Source organism: Homo sapiens, chromosome 11, assembly GCF_000001405.40.
Source record: "Homo sapiens chromosome 11, GRCh38.p14 Primary Assembly".
In the NCBI taxonomy this organism is placed as follows: domain Eukaryota; kingdom Metazoa; phylum Chordata; class Mammalia; order Primates; family Hominidae; genus Homo; species Homo sapiens.
The window spans coordinates 47,589,654-47,601,819 of record NC_000011.10 but is presented as its reverse complement, the minus strand read 5'-3'; the positions used below and the strand labels follow the sequence as shown (position 1 = coordinate 47,601,819).

General features: G+C 54.9%; 1 protein-coding gene across 2 annotated transcripts; it reads left to right on the top strand.

The window, feature by feature from the left end:
• The first annotated feature begins 6,515 nt into the window (after window positions 1-6,515).
• C1QTNF4 (C1q and TNF related 4) lies at window positions 6,516-12,153 on the top strand. Of its 2 annotated transcripts, XM_017017166.2 has the most exons (3): window positions 6,516-6,655; window positions 7,489-7,672; window positions 11,005-12,153. In XM_017017166.2, the coding sequence occupies exon 3, from the start codon at window positions 11,010-11,012 to the stop codon at window positions 11,997-11,999; it is 990 nt and encodes a 329-aa protein (XP_016872655.1). In that variant the 5' UTR covers window positions 6,516-6,655; window positions 7,489-7,672; window positions 11,005-11,009; the 3' UTR covers window positions 12,000-12,153. The 2 variants fall into 2 exon arrangements, with proteins under 2 accessions (XP_016872655.1, NP_114115.2); NM_031909.3 differs by lacking the exon at window positions 6,516-6,655 and having other exon boundaries at window positions 7,409-7,672.
• Window positions 12,154-12,166: the final 13 nt, after the last annotated feature.

The window sequence follows — 12,166 nt, the reverse complement described above, 5'->3', positions numbered from 1 at the left end:
GGGTTTTTTCTCCAACCTCTCCAATTGAAAAGCTGACTTTTGTCCCCAAAGATGTGCAGATCTTGGTGTCAATGTGCAGCATTCCATAGCCAGACATAGGATTTGGGTCTCCTGTCAGTCTGGAGTTATTTGTGCCTCCAATGTCTTCTGCTAACATGGGTCAAGGAGAACATGCAACAACAGTTCAGGGAATGAGCCTGGGTATGGGGAGAAACTTGGTGGCTGTCCTGCATCTTCAGCCAGTTTTGATCAGGTCTGGTTACCCCAGTGTTCCAACTCTCTGTTGCTACAGTAACCCAAAACTTACTGGTTTAAAACAGCAACAGTCGGCTGGGCGCGGTGGCTCACACCTATAATCTCAACACTTTGGGAGGCCGAGGCAGGTGGATCACTTGAAGTCAGGAGTTCAAGACCAGCCTGGCCAATACGGTGAAACCCCGTCTCTACTAAAAATACAAAAAAAATTAGCCGGGTGTGGTGGCAGGCGCCTGTAATCTCAGCTACTCGGGAGGCTGAGGCAAGAGAACTGCTTGAACCCGGGAGGCAGAGGTTGCAGTGAGCTGAGATCGTGCCACTGCACTCCAGCCTGGGTGACAGAGTGAGATTCCGTCTCAAACAAACAACAACAACAAAAAGCCCAGCAACAATCATCTTTATTCCTTGTGGGTCTGGTGGAGTACTAGGTTCAGCTAGGCAGTTCTCATTCAGGGCCGCTCACACAGTTGCAGTCAGAGGCCAGGCCTGGTGTCCTCTTGAAGGCTTCCTCACATCCACATCACTTGCAGTGATGCTGGTACCGCAGCTGGGGCCAGGGCCAGCTTCGTGGCCCCACAACTTGCATGGCTGAGCAAGGTGCCACACTTGGAAGAGCCATATGCTTGGTTTAAAGCTCTAAATTCTTAACTTTTTAACAGTACCCTCCACCTTCTTTTTTTTTTTAAGACAGGGTCTTGCCCTGTCGCCTAGGCTGGAGAGCAGTGGTGCAATCTCGGCTTGCTGCAACCTCTGCCTCCCAGGTTCAAGCGATCCTCATGCCCCAGCCTCCCGAGTAGCTGGGACCACAGGTGAGTGCCATCATGCCCGGCTAATTTTTTTTTTTTTTTTGAGATGGAGTCTTGCTCTGTTGCCCAGGCTGGAGTGCAGTGGTGCGATCTCGGCTCACTGCAACCTCTGCCTCCCAAGTTCAAGCGATTCTTCTGCCTCAGCCTCCTGAGTAGCTGGGATTACAGGCACGTGCCACCACACCTGGCTAATTTTTGTATTTTTAGTAGAGAAGGGGTTTCACCATGTTGGTCAAGCTGGTCTCGAGCTCCTGACCTTTGGTGATCCACCCGCCTTGGCCTCCCAAAGTGCTGGAATTACAGGCGTGAGCCACCACACCTGGCCACTTTTTGTATTTTTTTTTTAGAGACGGGGTTTCGCCATGTTGGCCAGGCCAGTCTCAAACTCTTGGCCTCAAGTGATCTCCCTGCCTTGGCCTCCCAAAGTGCTGGGATTAAAGGCATGAGCCACTGTGCCCAGCCACTCCACAATTTCATTTTGCACTGGACTCTGCAAATGATGTAGCTGGTCCTGACTAGGACTGTTGGCCACAATATTTACACGTGGCCTTTCCATGTGACCTAGGCTTCCTCACAGTCTGATGGCTGGGCTCCAGGGATGAGGGTTTCAAGAGAGAGATCCAGGCAGCAGCGGCATCACCTTTCAATGACCTAACGTAACTCCTCCTTTTCATGAGGACTGGCAAGGTCACATTGTAAGAAGAGCAAGTGGGATGGGAGATGACACTGTCGCATTTGAAAATGCAATTTGTCACATCAGGTCATGAGCAGGTCACCTCCTGGTCCATCTGCAGAAGGGGCCCAGGGGATTCAGTTCTGCCTTCTAGGAAGGCCAGTGTTGGGATCTTAGAGCCCTGCTGGGAAAAAGGCCAGGGGAGAGTTGGGAACTTGGTCTTCACAAGCACTCCCAGCTTCCCCTCTCCGGGGTCATTTACCAAGTGCTCAGAGGAATTGGAACCAAGGGCAATGGGGCCAGGAGCGTGACCAGGAACCCTAAAGTCTGCTCCCCTGGAGGGCTGAAATCTCCGAGAAAGGCAGGGACTCAGCGCCCAGACGTATGTTTCTCCTGCTGGCATCTCTGCTTGGCTAACATTCCTCCTCTTTCATTTCTCCCTGGGGCATGTTGTTGTCTTTCTCATTAATTTCCCCTCAACTCCCAGCAAGGTCCCTAGACTGTGAGCTTTGCTAATTCCCTGTAATCCACTGGCAAAGCAGGAAGCTAATTAAATTGTGAGCTGTGTGCTCACTCTGTCAGTCTCTGAATCTCTCTTCTCAGTCCCTCTCCCATCTGTCTCTTCCTTTCTCACTGCCCCTGGATAGTTTACTTTCATCTGGACACTTTCAGTATCTTCTCACCCATCTGCCTTCCTCTCCCCTCTTCTTTCTCCTGCTTTTCAATCTGCAGAGTAATCTTCTTAAAATACAGCTTTGAGCACACCTTCTTCTCCTCTACTGTAAGGTAAAAGCTCCTTAGCTCAGCAGTTAAGCCCCACACTCCTTACCATAACTTCCCATCACAAACCCTTATCCACAACCAAGCCTGGTACATTTCCTTCCCTAAGCTCCACCTACGCCACCTCCTCACCTTGGTTCACATTCTTATCTTTGACTGGATCCCACCCCCTCACTCCTCCATCTCCACTTCCATCTCACCCTGTCAAAATCCTCACCATTATTTAGAAAGAGCCTCTTCAGGCCGGGCACGGTGGCTCACGCCTGTAATCCCAACACTTTGGGAGGCCGAGGTGGGTGGATCACGAGGTCAGGAGATCGAGACCATCCTGGCCAACACGGTGAAACTGTCTCTACTAAAAATACAAAAAAACTAGCTGGGTGTGGTAGTGCACACCTGTAGTCCCAGCTACTCAGGAGGCTGAGGCAGGAGAATCGCTTGAACCCAGGAGGCAGAGGTTGCAGGGAGCTGAGATCATACCACGCACTACAGCCTCTGTCTTAAAAAATAAAAATAAAAAGGCTGAGAGAGAATCAGAGAAAGGGAGGCTGCAGAGTATACTGGTTAAGGACTGGGTTTGGGAGCCAGATAGCTCTGAGTTTAAATCCTACTCCTGCATTAACTTTTCTGATCCAGAAGGGACACATGGCCCTAAGAAGGGCTGCATGGCCCTAAGAAGGGTTGTGGCTGCCCTAGGTTGGCTTCCAGCCTTCCCCAGCTCTCCTGCGGCATCCCTGTGTGGCTCATCCCACCCTTACCATGCCTCTTGTCTTCCCCATAGTCTTGGGGCCCAAGCTTTTCAAGCTGGTGAAGGAGAGAGTTGTGATCCCAAGAAGCGGAGTGAGCGAGCGGGGAAATGAGACAAAGAGAGGAAACAGAATAAAGTGCACAGATAGGCCGGGCGCAGTGGCTCACACCTGTAATCCCAGCACTTTGGGGGGCCAAGATGGGTGGATCACGAGGTCAGGAGATCGAGACCATCCTGGCTAACACAGTGAAACCCCATCTCTACTAAAAATACAAAAAAAAAAATTAGCCGGGCGTGGTGGCGGGCGCCTGTAGTCCCAGCTACTCAGGAGGCTGAGGCAGCAGAATGGCGTGAACCCGGGAGGCGGAGCTTGCGGTGAGCCAAGATCGCGCCACCGCACTCCAGCCTGGGCGACTGAGCGAGACTCCGTCTCAAAAAAAAAAAAAAAAGCGCACAGATACCAGTGGGTTTTCACCATGGAGAACTTAACTCTGCTGGAGTCTCTCTGAGTCTGAAACATGACCTGGAATTGGGAATTGGAATGCTCCCATCGAGGGACCAGAAAGCTGGGGTATTTACCCCTAACTCTGGACCATTGGCTGATGGTTGCTCTGGGGGTATTAACTCTACAGCCCTTTGGGCCTGCCCCACACTAACTCCCATAGCTGAAAATGCCCTCAGGAGGGACACAGGAAGTAGGCGCCTGGTCAGGAACTGTCTGTGGGTGCCCTCCTGGTAGGCCTGGAGGTGTGGGTGGGCCACTGACAGCATCTACTACACTCAGTGAAAGGAACCTGCTATTAAAATTATTGTTGTTGGCTGGGCACCGTGGCTCACGCCTGTAATCCCAGCATTTTGGGAGGCCGAGGCAGGTGGATTACTTGAGGTCAGGAGTTCAAGACCAGCCTGGCCAACGCCATCTCTACTAAAAATACAAAAATTAGCCTGGTGTGGTGGCATACGCCTGTAATCCCAGCTACTCAGGAGGCTGAGGCAGGAGAATCACTTGAACCCAGGAGGCGGAGGTTGCAGTGAGCCGAGATCGCACCATTGCATTCCAGCTTGGGTGACAAGAGTGAAACTCCATTTCAAAAAATAAAAATAAATAAAAATTATTGTTGTTTATTAGCTGCCACGTGGTGGCAGGCTGACGGGGGAGGATCACTTAAGCCCAGGCTGCAATGAGCCAAGATCGTGCCACTGCACTCCAGCCTGGGTGACAGAGTAAGAACCTATCTCAGCCAGGCGCAGTGGCTCACTCCTGAAATCCCAGCATTTTGGGAGGCTGAGGCGGGCGGATCACCTGAGGTCAGGAGTTTGAGAACAGCCTGACCAACATGCAGAAACTCCATCTCTACTAAGAATACAAAATTAGCCAGGGTGGTGGTGCATACCTGTAATCCCAGCTACTCAGGAGGCTGAGGCAGGAGAATCACTTGAACCTGGGAGCGGGAGGTTGCGGTGAGCCAAGATTGCTCCATTGCACGCCAGCCTGGGCAACAAGAGCAAAACTCCATCTCAAGAAAAGAAAAAAGAACCCGTCTCAATTTATATATATTTTAATGTTAATTTTTTTAACTTTTTTTTTAAGTGATGGGGACAGCTGGGCGCGGTGGCTCACGCCTGTAATCCCAGCACTTTGAGAGGCCAAGGCGGGCGGATCACGAGGTCAGGAGTTCCAAGACCAGCCTGACCAACATGGTGAAACCCCGTCTCTACTAAAAATACAAAATATTAGTCGGACATGGTGGCGCGCTCCTGTAATCCCAGGTACTCAGGAGGCTGAGGCAGGAGAATCGCTTGAACCCGGGAGGCGGAGGTTGCAGTGAGCCAAGATCGCAGCATTGCACTCCAGCCTGGGCAACAGAGCGAGAGTCTGTCTCAGAAAAAAAAAAAAAAAAGAGAGAGAGAGATGGGGTCTCACTCTGTTGCCCAGAGTGGTCTCAAACTTCTGAGCTCAAGCGATCTTCCCACCTTGGCCTCCCAAAGTGCTAATATCATAGGCGTAAGCCACCATGCCCAGCCATACCCGTCTCAATTAAAAAATAAATAAAATAATTGTTGTTTAAGACCAGCCTGGGCAACAGAGTGAGACCTCGTCTCTACAAAAAATTTTAAAAAAAATTAGCCAGGCATGGTGACCTGCACCTGTAGTCCCAGCTACCTGGGAGGCTGAGGTGGGAGAATCACTTGAGCCCGCAAGGTCAAAGCTGCAGTGAGCCAAGATCATACCATTGCACTCCAGCCCAGGTGACACAGCAAGACCCTCTCTCAAAAATAAATAAAATTGTGGCTGCAAAACAAGAGAGGAGGGAGCAGGGACTATAACCAGCCTAGGGCTTTTCTCTGGATCCTGCTGCCACCTCTTCTTAACTCCCATTCTGGAGCCCACCCATCTGCCTTACACCCACCAGCTCATGGCATCATCTTTCTCTATATCCCTTTCCCAGTGGCTTCCTCCCTATCCCAGTCCCCTGATGCAAATCCTGATGTCATCTGCCCCAGCCACCCATCTCTACCTCAACCCTCACTTCTCTGGTGAGAACTCTTGTGGATCCAGGGAGTGTCAAATCCCAGCCTGAACCAAACCTCAACTGAGATTATATTATCCTATAATATACCTTCTCCCCTCCCCTCCCCTCCCACCATTGGAATCACCCTCAGGAGAGCAGCTCCACTCTTCTCATCCAGAAGGGGCCCATGGCCCTAAGAAGGGCCATAGATTGCCATAGGTTGGCTTTTGGCATCCCCCAGCTCTCCTTCGACATCCCTGTGTGGCTCATCCCACCCTTACCCTGCTTCTTGTCCTCCCCACAGTCCTGTGGCCCAAGCTTTTCAAGTTGGTGAAAGAGACAGTTGTGATCTGACAAGGGCTAGACAGGTGCTTCACCCTCTGTCACCAAATACCCTCATTATCCAGCCCAAAACACCTCCATTCATTCCTTTCTATTCTGGCACATATTCGTTAATTCATTCCATCATTCACCTAACACCCTTGAAGCAGAGCCAATCACCTCTACCAACATCTTCCTAGAGACAAATAGATTAACTGGGGTGGGGTAAACTTTGAGAGCTCCAAAAGGAAAGCTCCAGAGGACGGGGGTTCTGCAGGGGTCCAGGCCTCTCAGGGACCACAGAGCAGACCTGCAGCAGAGGCAGAATTAGAGCCCATGGCTCTGGAGTCAACCAGGGCCAGGCAGAGGGCACCAGCTCTTGGCTGCTGAAAGTAGAGCTCTTCAAAAGTCATCCACTCAGTCAGCATCTACTGAGTGCCAGGCAGTGTCGTCACCTCTACAGCCGTCAGGGGAGAGAACAGCAGCCTAGAGAAAGGGAGTCTGAGCCCCCATCCCACGGGCTCGAAGCCCAGAGTAGAGGCCAGCACTAGTGCCTCTGGTGAGTATTACCATGGGAAGACCGCTGTTCCCAGCCCGGGTGCCCTGCTGGACTCTTGCTAGCCTGGCCCCAGCGAGGCAGGGCATCAGTTTCCCTCTCCAGAGGCCTTTCTTCCCCACCTATTGCCCTCTCAATCCTGTCCCTTCTTGCAGGAGCAACCTTCCCAGCAGAAAATTCCATTCTGCCCCAAGGACTCTCCTCCTTACTGCCCCTCACCCCGGGGAACGCAGGCTGCCCCTCTGATGCCTGCAGACTCCCTTCTCCCTCTTTCCTAACCGACCGTGGGCATTTTCCAATTTGGAGGTGAGGAGGAAAAACTAGGTTATTTTCAGCTCTTCCTTTACTGGCAACATTGACCCATTTATCCTTCTCTTCCTTCAGACCTCTCCCCCAAGGCCACTTAGCTTGGACATCTGTCCCAGCCAAAATCTCACCTTCCACTGTCCTTGCAGCCCAAAGGCTAGTCCAGCCTCTGAGTCCAGCTCTAGCCCTCTCTCCCCACACTAGGAAGGAAGCTGGACTGTAGAGCGCTCTGGGCCACCCCGCGTTAGCTGCTGCCTCTGGCCTCAGTTTCCCCAACTGCTCAGATTAATGATGCCTGCTCTCTAGACCCAGAGGACGAAGCTCTAAGGAGGTCACAGATGAGGAAGGGTCCAGTGCTCGGCGCAGACTCCGTGCGGAGCCCCTAGGCCCCGCAGCTCGCCCCTCCCTCTCCCCTACTCCCCTCCTCTCCCCCTCCCGTCTCTCCCCCGCCTCTTCGCTCTCGCTCGGCTCCCTCTCTAGCTGACCTTCCCTTTCCCTCACGCCTCCCCACGCCCGGCCCCTGGCCCCAGCACCCTGTCCGCTGCCGCCTCAGAGCCGGGAAAAGCAGCCGGAGCCCCCGCCGCCCCTGCCGCAGCGCGGGCGGTCAGCGCGCAGCCCGGCACCCGCAGCCTGCAGCCTGCAGCCCGCAGCCCGCAGCCCGGAGCCAGATCGCGGGCTCAGACCGAACCCGACTCGACCGCCGCCCCCAGCCAGGTGAGGGCAGCTGAGGGGAGGCAGGGAGCCGAGGTTCCCCCTTTACTGGAAGCGAGGGCTGGGGAGGCGCGGGGAAATTGGGTCCTTTTTCCTTGAAAGGAGGACCTGGGAGCCTTTTCGTGAAACAGGCACAAGGGCTTTCATTCCAAAGGGATGGATGGATGGAGGGAAGGTCTCGGGGGAGAGGGATTGGTTTTTGTTTTTTAAAAATAAGGATTAATTGGCTTCTGTGAAAGTGGGACTTCTTGGAAGGATGAGGGGCTTTCAAGGTAGGTTGGGGAGGGGGCTCTGGCAGGGCTTGAGGGAAGGGTTAACTGGTGAGTGGCAGGGCAAGGGGGAACTCTGCGATCCCCTCAGCCTGACATCGCTGCACCTCCCGCCTTGGCTCCGGGGCTCTGGGTCTCTCCAGCTCTGTGTCCCAGTTTTTCTCTTTGAAGATGACTATTTTGAACCCCACCTGGACAGAGCCAGGAACAGCCATTTCCTTCCCTGGAGCTATGACACCCACCTGACACACCCTCCCACACCTCTGACCTGCTCAGGGAAGGGGGTTCAGGGAAGGACGAGGATCCAGGGATCTGGGAATTGGGCAGTGTGGGTGAAACGGAGGCTGGGTACTGGGTGCACAGGAAGACCCTTGGCACTGGTGGGGTGCACCAGCCTTGGTCAGGAGGTTGCTGGGCAGCTGCTTCTGGGGCAGGACCCACTAGGAAAGCAGCGGTATGGAAAAGCTGAGCTGTTTTCCGTGTTCCCAGAAGACAAAACACTAGAGAATGTGTTTGCTTGCTTTTGTTTGGTTTTGCTTTCTGTCTTCCTCACCCTGGATCCCAAGACTCATTCCTCTGATCTCCTCTCCTAGTTTTGCAAAAAGGTAAACTGAGGCACAGAACAAATTGGCTGGACATACCTGTGTCTAGGAGGGAAGAGTGACAGGAAGGCATACGGAATTTGAGTCAAAAAACCTCAGTGCTCCATGGGTGACCTTGGGCCAAAATGCTTTCCCTTGTTGGGCCTCAGCTTTCTCATCTATAAAATGGGAGACGGCCCACCTGTCTTGTAGGTTTGCCAAGACCATGTGTCTAAAAGAACTTTGTAAAAGGGAATGCACTGGACACTTGTGAGGTGCCATCTTCACCACTGTGGATGGCCCCTTCCCTCCTCCCTGTCCTAACCAAGGGACACCTAACTAATCCATAGGACACCTTTGTGAGAATTACAAAAAGCACCTCCTCTGGAAGGAGACAGCATTCAGTTGGCTAGCAACTTGGGGTCTTTAGTATGAGAATGAGAAGGTGGCATACTTTACGCCAGGTGCTGCTCTAACATGTGGAGTGTGAGCTAGATTCTAGCTGGGACGTTCTGCACATCTACACCTGACAACCCTTCTCAGCAGGTCCCTGCTGTCTCTAAGAGACACAGAGCTACACATACAGGGCATTTTCTAAAGCAGCCCACATCCCAGGCTGTCTCCAGCTCATTTCTTTCCTGTTTTGTTTCCACATCAGGGCTTTTGGGTATTCAAGCCCCAAAGCACGTGCCCTACTAGGAAGCAGGATGGAATCCCTACATCAGAGAGTGACTCCTTTGAGTTAAGCAGTGCCTTCACCAAGCTCTCAGGGGTAGGAGTGACTGAGTCCCTAAACCCTTACGTCAAGAACTGGACCAGATCACTTTTGTCAGGGCAACCGACAGAAGCATCTGCACACCTCAGCACTGCCGTTGACAAACCATGTTCACACCTATCTCAGCACACCCCCACAGCAAGCCTGTGTGTGAGGTCTCTTCCCCATTTACATGGAGGAAGCCATGCCCAGAGAAGTTAGGGAACCTGCCCAAGGTTTCACAGTGTGAGTGGTAGAGCCAGGACCTGAACCCAGATCTGGCTATCTGTCCTCTCCAATCCATCACTCCCAAGGAACAAAGCTGCTGACTTCACAGCCTTGCCAAAGCCCTGCTGGAATTGTTGCTGTCCCTGTCCATCCCCAGTAGCCCCTGGCTCGCCACTCCTTCTTCTGAGTAACCAGCCTCCAAGCAAAGAGAAAGGAGTCACCTTCTCTTTTACTCTGATTTCAAGGGGGAGGAAGCTACCTCAAAGCCCAACTGTTCTCGCCTCCTCTGTGCAGGAAGGGCCCCTGGTGAGGCCAGGAAAGGGGTCAGGGAGCAGCGATTTCCTTTCCTGCTCAGATGGGGCTTAAACAGTAACGGTCATGCAGAGCGTTGACACAGAGAGCCAGTGCCTGCGTGAGTGGCAGACCAAGGACCATAAAATAACCACAGGAAAATGCAGCCAACTGGAGCTGAGGGGAACTCAGAGACTCCCCTGAATCCCCCGGGTTACCAGGGCCCCTGAGTGTCAAATGGGAGGTGTAGGGGCAAGCCCAGCAGACAGGGCTGTAGGCCTCTTTAACCAGAGTGTTTCTGCTAGTCTGTGTTCAAGCTTTCACTTAAGAAAGGGGTTTCGGCCGGGCGCGGTGGCTCACGCCTGTAATCCCAGCACTTTGGGAGGCCGAGGCAGGCGGATCACAAGGTCAAGAGATCAAGACCATCCTGGCCAACATGGTGAAACCCTGTCTCTACTAAAAATACAAAAATTAGCTGGGTGTGCTGGGTGCAAGCCTGTAGTCCCAGCTACTTGGGAGGCTGAGGCGGGAGAATCGCTTGAACCTGGGAGGTGGAGGCTGCAGTGAGCCGAGATCAAGCCACTGCACTCCAGCCTGGCGACACAGCCAGACTCCGTCTCAAAAAAAAAAGGGGGGGGGGCGGGGTTTCAAGGCCAGGCGCGATGGCTCACGCCTGTAATCCCAGCACTTTGGGAGGCTGAGGCAGGTGGATCACTTGAGGTCAGTTCAAGACCAGCCTGGCCAACATGGTGAAACCCCGTCTCTACTAAAGATACAAAAAATTAGCTGGGCGTGATGGTGCGCACCTGTAATGTCAGCTACTCAGGAGGCTAAGGCAGGAGAACTGCTTGAACCCGGGAGGTGGAGGTTGCAGTGAAACGAGATCGTGCCACTACACTCCAGCCTGGTTCACAGAGCGAGACTCCATCTCAAAACAAACAAACAAAACAAAGAAATGCAAATTATCAGGCCCATCACAGACCTACTGAATGAACTCTGGTGATGGGGCCCAACTATGTATGTTTGAACACGCCCTCCAAGTGACAGTGAGGCTCGCTAGAGTTTGAGAATCCAAGGATGTAGGAAAATTGAAACCTACTTGTGGGTCAAGGGCAGGGCTGGGAAGAGAACCCTTGTCTCCCGGTGGAGAGCCGGGCGTTTGGAAGCCGCCCCTGCCAACACTCCACTCTCGCCCCTCCGTCTCCCTCCCAGGCGCCATGCTGCCGCTTCTGCTGGGCCTGCTGGGCCCAGCGGCCTGCTGGGCCCTGGGCCCGACCCCCGGCCCGGGATCCTCTGAGCTGCGCTCGGCCTTCTCGGCGGCACGCACCACCCCCCTGGAGGGCACGTCGGAGATGGCGGTGACCTTCGACAAGGTGTACGTGAACATCGGGGGCGACTTCGATGTGGCCACCGGCCAGTTTCGCTGCCGCGTGCCCGGCGCCTACTTCTTCTCCTTCACGGCTGGCAAGGCCCCGCACAAGAGCCTGTCGGTGATGCTGGTGCGAAACCGCGACGAGGTGCAGGCGCTGGCCTTCGACGAGCAGCGGCGGCCAGGCGCGCGGCGCGCAGCCAGCCAGAGCGCCATGCTGCAGCTCGACTACGGCGACACAGTGTGGCTGCGGCTGCATGGCGCCCCGCAGTACGCGCTAGGCGCGCCCGGCGCCACCTTCAGCGGCTACCTAGTCTACGCCGACGCCGACGCTGACGCGCCTGCGCGCGGGCCGCCCGCGCCCCCCGAGCCGCGCTCGGCCTTCTCGGCGGCGCGCACGCGCAGCTTGGTGGGCTCGGACGCTGGCCCCGGGCCGCGGCACCAACCACTCGCCTTCGACACCGAGTTCGTCAACATTGGCGGCGACTTCGACGCGGCGGCCGGCGTGTTCCGCTGCCGTCTGCCCGGCGCCTACTTCTTCTCCTTCACGCTGGGCAAGCTGCCGCGTAAGACGCTGTCGGTTAAGCTGATGAAGAACCGCGACGAGGTGCAGGCCATGATTTACGACGACGGCGCGTCGCGGCGCCGCGAGATGCAGAGCCAGAGCGTGATGCTGGCCCTGCGGCGCGGCGACGCCGTCTGGCTGCTCAGCCACGACCACGACGGCTACGGCGCCTACAGCAACCACGGCAAGTACATCACCTTCTCCGGCTTCCTGGTGTACCCCGACCTCGCCCCCGCCGCCCCGCCGGGCCTCGGGGCCTCGGAGCTACTGTGAGCCCCGGGCCAGAGAAGAGCCCGGGAGGGCCAGGGGCGTGCATGCCAGGCCGGGCCGGAGGCTCGAAAGTCCCGCGCGAGCGCCACGGCCTCCGGGCGCGCCTGGACTCTGCCAATAAAGCGGAAAGCGGGCACGCGCAGCGCCCGGCAGCCCAGGCCCCTGCGCTG